The 8,163-nt window shown below is 49.8% G+C and overlaps 1 protein-coding gene across 28 annotated transcripts in view, besides 1 other annotated feature; it reads right to left on the bottom strand.

Annotated features, from left to right (window-relative positions):
• The window catches only part of ADARB1 (adenosine deaminase RNA specific B1), a 151,986-nt gene continuing 144,083 nt past the window's right edge, over positions 261-8,163 (bottom strand). For 6 of the 28 annotated variants that reach the window (XM_017028251.2, XM_047440660.1, XM_047440661.1 and 3 more), the window contains 2 exons: positions 5,810-5,988; positions 4,544-4,806 (listed from right to left, as the gene is read on the bottom strand). In XM_017028251.2, coding sequence (XP_016883740.1) covers positions 4,627-4,806; positions 5,810-5,988 — 359 coding nt within the window. In that variant the 3' untranslated portion in view covers positions 4,544-4,626. Of the gene's footprint in view, positions 4,807-5,809; positions 5,989-8,163 lie in introns of those variants that run through there. The other 22 variants (XM_047440667.1, XM_047440663.1, XM_047440666.1 and 19 more) reach the window with 11 other exon arrangements.
• Positions 5,967-6,533: an enhancer, noted in NCBI's record as "H3K4me1 hESC enhancer chr21:46640206-46640772 (GRCh37/hg19 assembly coordinates)". NCBI's record gives its function as "activates a minimal SCP1, AML or CMV promoter by ChIP-STARR-seq in naive H9 embryonic stem cells {active_cell/tissue: H9 hESC(naive)}" and the evidence as "EXISTENCE:reporter gene assay evidence [ECO:0000049][PMID:30033119]".

Below are 8,163 nucleotides of genomic sequence, written 5' to 3'. Positions count from 1 at the left end.
AACACGCTCTCCAGGAAGACAGTGAAGTCAAGAATCTAACAGGGGTGGGGACTGAGGGGAGACTGTCCCAAGGTGGGGAAATTCCAGTAGCACTGGTGCAAGCACAGCAGGTGACAAGACCACGTGGAGGCAGAGCTGCAGCTCTTGGGCGGGACTCAGCCACCTTTTCAGGTTATGCATGTGGGTGTCCATACCCAGGCCTGCTAGTGGAGCCAAGGGCAGAAATAATTTGAAAGGAAAAGAAAGTCTCAGCAACACCAGAGTAGTGAAACATTTTCTTTTTATTGAGAACATCTCAAATCCTTTGTCTGTATTTGACAGCGTCTCATGCTCAGTTCCAGCTGGTCTTGTGCGAGAGGAAGCTCATGCAGTTGTAACGTGTGGTGTATACACAGATTTACATACAGAGAACACTGAGGATTGCATCTCAGCAACATGTTTCTCAGCCGAATTACATTCATAGAAAGTGTCCAGATTCTAAAATCAAATTAAAAGCATGTAATCCAAAGCCTGAAAAAGCAAACAGCTTTAGGGGCTGACTCCATTAGCGTTCCATAGACTGTGCTTTTAACCGTTCAGTTCATGTTTAATGGCCCATCGGTTCCTTACATACCATCAGCTTATGCTGTGGCCAAAAGAAGTGTTCTTGTGGCTTGGTACTCGTCCCTTCAAACAGTAAACAAGAAAGTGCAGACAGTGCTGCCAGAGACAGGAGGATTTTCACATGAGACTGAAAAAGCCGACACACCCTTACAACTAAGTCATGGTCGAGTCGGACCTGCCATCCACCTCCACCAGTCCCTGGAACCCGGCAGGTCAGAGTTTTCTCTAATTCTATTCCCCGGCATCAAGTGAACACTAGAACTCACACGGAAGGCCCCGAGCAACCACTGGCCTCGGGGCTGGGTGCACCCACTCCTCACCCAGGGAGATTGTCACAAAACACGCTAGGGGGCAGAGACGCTGTAAACTGGACACACACGGAACACAATGCCCTTTCCACTTACACAGCGTGGGGATGATAAAAAGGAATCTTTTGAGCAAGTCTATAATTTTACAGAATTTAGAGGTGGGAAAGATGGCCAATTTTCCTTCTTTATGCCTGGGGCAGACCACCTGCTTCTGGGGTAAAGTGTTTGAGAAGGAAAAAGAGCCACTGTACATGTGTTTGTTTTGAGACATGGGCAGGTCCGGATGTGCAGTCTCCACAGCTTCGCTAATCCCATCCTCAGATCTGTGCACAATGTGAAGACGGAGCCGTCCCCTCCTCAGTGTACCTGTGTGAGATTACAAGGAGAGACACTGTCTTCACAAAGAAAGTGGCGATTCCACAGCCTGGAGATAAATATGGTTATTTGAATAAAAATAAATTCCACAGAAATCCATGCCTTGTGAGATACTGGCTTGCACATTTTAAAATAATTGCTTTTAATTACAAAAAATTCTCCAAAATAGGAAAAGATGATGAAAAGTTAAATTAAGACTCAGAATAAAAACTGCAGTTCTTTGGCGTCCCTTGCTGGGAAGAGGTGGGCCTGGCGTACGACCAGGTGATGAGAGCTGAGGAAGGTGGTGACGACATCCATCTGGACCTGTCGCTGCCTCATGGCACAGAACACACCGCCCCACCTGAGACCTCCCACTAGCAGGACTCTGTCCCTGGCAGAGCTGTACCTGAGTGGTCCTGAGGGACAGTGTCTTTGTGGAATTAATACTTCAGGTTTAGTTAACAAAACAAAACAAAACAAAACAACAGAAGCCCTCTCTTCCCCTACTTGTCAAAATGTCCTCAAAATGTAATATTTTTTCTTAAAAAATCAAGTTCCTGCTTGTGTCGAATTTTCTGCTAAGTCTCTAAAAGCCACATCAAGGACACTGGATGGAGAGTGACACGTCAATGAAACAGCTATAGTCTAAAAGTGCACACCGAGCGCTCAGAAGGGAGGGATTAAAGTGCTAAGGTCCCCGATCTGTCTCACGGAGGAGTCAGCGTTCTGTATTTTGTTTATTTTTTTTCTGATTACAGATGAGCTGTCCTAGGAGCAGTGCAGAGCCTCTGGTCCCCTGCACGTCACCTTCCTCCCCACAGCCGCCCCGCCCAGGGCTCCCCGAAACCAGTTCCTTCCTACAGCCGCCCCCTGCCCCGGCCCAGGGCTCCCGGAACCCAGTTCCCCCTGACAGCCACCCCGCCCAGGGCTCCCTGAACCCAACTCCTCCTCACAGCCGCCCCCCAGTAGCCCCCTGCCCAGGGCACCCCGAACCCAGTTCCCCCCAACAGCCGCCCCGCCCAGGGCTCCCCGAACCCAGTTCCTCCCCACAGCTGCCCCACCCAGGGCTCCCAGAACCCAGTTGCCTTGGCTGCCTTCCTCCTGCCTGGACGGCTTGGGATAGGGTGCCCTGTGCCTGTCCTCAAGGCCGCACGAGTCCACCCCGGAAAGGTGCCACCTCACATGGTCTCAAGGTAGCTGCTCAGGCCCCACAAGGTGAGGCACTCACTTATTTGGGGTGGTACAGGGAGCAATCATGCTGACTTTAGCTATTACCTGACAGAAGGGAAAAGCCAGACATACCGGGTAGTTTTGTATGTATATGGAATATATTAACACTAAACTTGGTAACCAAAATCCACATATTTTTAAAAACGAAGTCCATCTCCCAATCCCCATTAGAAAAAAATACAATTTATCAAGACAATAAAAATGCACAGACTTACAAGGTGTTTTTTCTAGAGTGTGCAAGAGCCTGCTTGGGGGAAAGCCAGCGACAACAGACCCCTCTCCTTCTGCAGGTGCAGAACCCCAGCGCGATCTGCCTGAACAAAACCCCACTGTGGTGACGGAGCGGCAGAGACGCCTGCTGTGACTGCTTCAGGGAGACAACTACCCTCTTCGGTGGAGGAGGAGGCTGCTGTGGGGCAGATGTTCTAGCCGCTGAACCCGGTCATGTCCCCAACAATGAGCCCTAAGCAGCACCCCTTCCTGCCGTGCTGCGACGAGATCTGTGTGGACACACGTGGATGGGGCTCCTGACATCAGGAGGCACACCCCCCGCCGAAGCCACGGTGTTTCAGTTTTGGGGTCTGAGCTCCCAGCGTCCGGTGGGAGGATGACGCCCCTCTGCCCCTGCTCTGGTTTCCTAGGCTCATCACGGACACACAGGTGCCAACACCCTGGATTTCGCTGTGGCAGGTGTATGCTGTGGGGTAAGGTCTGCACCAATCTCTCCCCATGGCCCCAGGAGACCCACCTGAACACCCTCTAGAGCCTTGGAGCTGGGCACTGCACTGGCAGGCAGAGCACTTCTCTCAGCTCCTCTTTCATCCTGAGCGGAGGCAACAAGGCACCTGGTGCAAATCTCTGAGCTTGGTGGAGGTGGTCCACACAGGGCCCTCGCCCGCCGCGCTCCTGACCTCCCGGGCTGACTCCCTCTGTCGTGGGGCCGTCCCGTGCACGCTGGGCGCTGGGCAGCCCTGAGCTCCCGTCAGGACTGTCAATGTCTGGCCTACACTACGCCAGCAGCACGTGGTCTCACCAGCTCTCACTTGGATGCTTTTTATTTTTCAAACATGTCTTTGATAAAGCTGGAAACAATAATTTAAAACTATGGCATTTTCCAAGAATGAGTATCTACTGAAATCATTCTACTTCCATCCTGTGAAGGCCTTCGGGCGGTCACCCACATCCATTCGATTCAGAGGAAGGAACAGAGGGAACTTAGGCCATGTATTGTGCAGTAGCCCTCGTGATTCCTTCTAGTCCATAAAAGTTAAATATCCTTTAAAAAACCTGAATGAATGGCCAGCCTGGGATTACTGGCCATGTATTATCTGTGATTACTTAGAAGTAAACTGAGAAAAGTTTTCCATGATCTGATCCTACAAGGAGTACAGAAGCTTCTAGAGGAGGCTGAGGGCTACAGGGGCCTGGGTCACGCCTCTGCAGGACACACAGTCACTGCTGCGGGACCCCATGTGCATGACAGGGCCACGCTACACCATGCTGGGAGTCTGCTCCTCAGGGAGAGACTGTTACAACCTAGTGTGTGGAACTACCCAGGGAGGTACCTACGGAGAAAAGAGACCTAAGTTTAGACAGACGTGTGGCGATTTCCTTTAGGCTACTATTTCCTACCTCTATTTTCCCACCCTCCTCCATATATAGATGCTTTTTTGCAATTAAAATAATGTGGCATAAAAGTGACCTGACACAATTACTTCCTATTTTATAAACCACATTCCTAGCTCTGAATAAATTATTTATTCAAGAATTTCACACAAAGTAATTTCTATTTTCCTAAACTTAAGGAAGCCCTACTCAGTAGAACTCAATTTCTAAACGTAAACCGAGATTGAAAGCAGTCACTGGACGGTTCAGAAGGGGAAATGCTGCGGCAGAGAGATGCCAGGCGGCGATGCTGGGCCCTGACGCACCCCATCCCCTCCCCACACTGCGCACCTGCCCCAGGTCTGATGTGAGATGCTGGGGACAACCGTGGACACCTGGTGGTCCCCCGTGTCCCCCTACTCCCTCCCCAAGGTATGCACCTGCCCCCAGTTCAGATGTGAGGTTCTGGAGGATGACGCTGGATGCCCACAGCCCCCTGCACCCCCCATCATGTCTGCCCGGGTCAGGGCGTGAGTGAGAACTGGTCCTGCTCGGTGGGCTTCTCCACCCAGGCCCCCAGCCCCGCCTTGATGAAGGCTGTGAACAGACGCGCCTTGGCGGCCTGGTACTCCTTTGCCGCCAGCTTGGACTCATGGTACACGTTGGGCTTGGTAATCTTGGAGCGTAGTAAGTGGGAGGGAACCTGTGAAGGGATAAAAAAACAAATGCAACTGTTGACGCTGTAACAGATGAAAACAACACCTAATAAGATACCAAAACATGGCCTTCAGAACTGCATTGGCTTCTGGGGGGAAAGCAACCCAGAGGAAGGCGCCTTCTGCCAAGGGAACGGCTTCACACAGAACAAGGTGCGGCGTCTCCTAAGGGCTGAGTTATTGCCAAGTTCCAGTCTTGCTGGTCAAACAGGCAGCTACAGACCCCCGAGTTCTGAAGACATGCTTCTGGGAAACCACCAATAGTGGATTCACGTTTCATTTTTAACTCTAAGAAGCACCACGGATGTTATGTGTGTCATCACCCTGATGACCTCGGAGGCCTTCCCTCATGCGGCCAGTAACTCCTTCTGTGTGGACCTTGGACTTGTGGCAGCTGGCCTGGGTGCTGCCCCTGGTGAACAGGACCCTCCCGGGCACTGTCCCTTCTGGCTATACCTCCCATGCCAGTGCACAATGCTGGTCTCAGAATAAACAGATGCCATCTACTTGACTGAAGAATACACACAAACTAGTAATACCCTGACTTACTATATAAAGTTTTATTCTGGGGAAAAAAGGGCCCCACAGCTAATTCAAAAGGTTTAAAAACTCCACTGGAGGGTTATCACAATCCAAGCAATTTTTATGTTGCTGAGAAGGAGGGGACAGCAGGGTGACTGGCCCTGCGTTTTGCATAATGACTTTCAATATCTGAGAGTAAGAGACGTTTCCACCACACACAGTGGCCTGGCAGTGGGTGTTACCCTGCAGCAGGGAGGAAAAGAGCTGCCTTTGAGATGGCATTAAGGTTTCAGGGACGTAGCCACACTTCTAAGCTAAAACAATCTGAAGGAAGAATCATTCCAAGTGATCGTTTTCGGAAGCTGTGCATGATGACATGATGAAACAACTTAAGGAACAGTAGGTGTGAGGACAGACAAGCTATTGGGGAGGTGGAGCCGGCGCATTGCGGTGAGGGCGCCTCAGTACCTTGCCGTGCACACGCATCCAGCGACAGTACAACGCGTGCTTACACAGGCGGGACGCGCGGCCCAGCTCATCCTTCCCAGTCGTGGCGTTGATGACCTCAATAGCGGAGTCGCCTACCGTCCAGTTGACACTGAAGTTGGGGGCCTTCCCTGGCTGCCGTGCTTCTGCATTGCTGATGCCTGAAACGGAAGACACAGGAAGGTGGTGTGAAGCCCGCTTTCACCCCCAGGGAGGGAGCAGCCACGGGCGGCACACTGTGCTCAGACATGGCCACAGAAGTGCGTGGTGGGGGAATTCTGCCTGCCGAGGAATATACGCAGACTTGAGCGTGCATCTGCCGTGGCAGTGGCCTCACACTCTTCCACGGCCACCAGAATAGGAGCAGTGCTGAGAAAGCAGAACTGACCCACGGGTATGCACTTGTCTGACAGGGCAGGTGGGCAGAAGATTGACAGAAACCTGAAATCATGAGACTTCCTGACAAGTGTGTCTTTTCTCACTCTGGCACTGACGGAGCCAGGAACCTTGGCAGCCTGAGAGTGGATGGGTGGGAGCCACTTCTGAGACTAATGCAGGGTCCCATGAGGTCGTGCAGGTGGGGGTTGCTCCTGTATCACACCACCTCTGGCGCTCATGCCTGCATGTGCTCCCCTGCCACTGAGAGGCCAGGCATGTTCAGGTCACGTGGCTTTGCATGTGTGACATCCATGATGCAATAGGAAACCCTAATTCTTAACAAGAGTCTTGAAAAAGTTCATGGAAAATGCTTATTATGAAAAAACCTCATGGATTTCAAAATTTTTTGGCACCAAAATAAACTTGTACTAACTTGCTGAAACATGTCTGAATAGGATCTAGTTTGAGGCACTAAGAAGATTAAGACATCTGTTTGAAAAGCGCTCCTATCAGAGCTACATGACTTCTGCTAAAATTGAAGCAAGAACAAACATCAAACAGGAGATAAAAATAGCTTTTACAAAGACAATCCTGAAGAAAATGCATAATCCAAAAAAAAAAAAAAAAAAGGCTACCAAGAGGCAGAAGGGGCCCAGTCAAAGCACAGGCTGACTGGCCAAAGCACAGGCCATGGCAGCATTTTTGGGATGCTCAAGGCGTTTTGCTTGTTGGGTTCACATGGAGGGCCAAAGGATGGTAATATCTGCTTATGATGACAGTGTTTCAAGAAAGTGAGCCAAAGCTTTAGCAGAAACCCCCTGGGGAAGCTTCGCCAGAGACCTTCACCATGACAAAGCGCCTATTTATTCCTCTCATCAAACAAGGGCAAGTGTGTGAGGGTTTCGAGAGGAAATCATGAGCCATCCACCTTATGGTGGTTGCAAATCCACCTCATTTGGCTCCTTCTGACTTCTTTTTGTTTCCTAATCTCAAAAATTCCTTAAGGGGCATGCTTAAGGAATTTTTCTTCAGTTACTAATGTAAGAAAGACTGCACTGACATGGTTAAACTCCCAAGACATTCAGTTCTTTTTTTCGAGACGGAGTCTCACTCTTGTTGCCAGGCTGGAGTGTGTGGTGCGATCTTGGCTTGCTGCAACCTCCACCTCCTGGGTTCAAGCGATTCTCCTGCCTCTGCCTCCCAAGTACCTGGGACTACAGGCGCGTGCCACCATGCCCAGCTGGTTTTTGTATTTTTAGTAGAGATGGGGTTTCACCATGTTGGCCAGGATGGTCTCAATCTCCTGACTTCATGATCTTCCCGCCTCGGCCTCCCAAAGTGTTGGGATTACAGGCATGAGCCACCACACCTAGCCACCATTCAGTTCTTTAGGGACAATCTAAATGGCTAGGATCAGCACTTACAAAAATGTCTTGAATTTGATGGAGCTTATGTTGAGAAATAATGTTTATATCTTTAAACATTTTTTTATCTTTTAACTTTATGAACTTTTTGAAGTACCCTTGTACTTATTTTCTTGCTGTGTTTAAACGATCTCATCTTAACTAATCACAGGCTAATTCTGCAGGGTTGAAAGTTTTTAAAAAGACACTTGCATAACTCGGAATTGAATACATGTATCTGCATTTATATATTGAGCTTGATAATTCATATCACATGGATGTTATAGGCCACCAAAATCAAAACTAATTTGGGATATGAATCTTTAGAACATGCTTAGAACATGGGCAGACTCATATTCTGAACCCAGACACTGAACTGTCAAGCCCACTGGCCAGAAGCAGCACACTGCACTCTCAGATGACTCAGTACAACTCACTTCGTGCCCTGTGGAGGCCACCCCCACCCCGTCACCATGCTCACTTGCTTTCAATGACCATTTATCCCTCCCTTGGAGAGATATCAAAACCCAGATGACAGTTCACTGTTCAGAGTAA

The sequence above is a fragment of the Homo sapiens genome, chromosome 21 (genome assembly GCF_000001405.40).
Source record: "Homo sapiens chromosome 21, GRCh38.p14 Primary Assembly".
In the NCBI taxonomy this organism is placed as follows: domain Eukaryota; kingdom Metazoa; phylum Chordata; class Mammalia; order Primates; family Hominidae; genus Homo; species Homo sapiens.
Note: the sequence above shows the minus strand (reverse complement) of the source record. Positions and strands in the feature narration are given on the sequence as shown.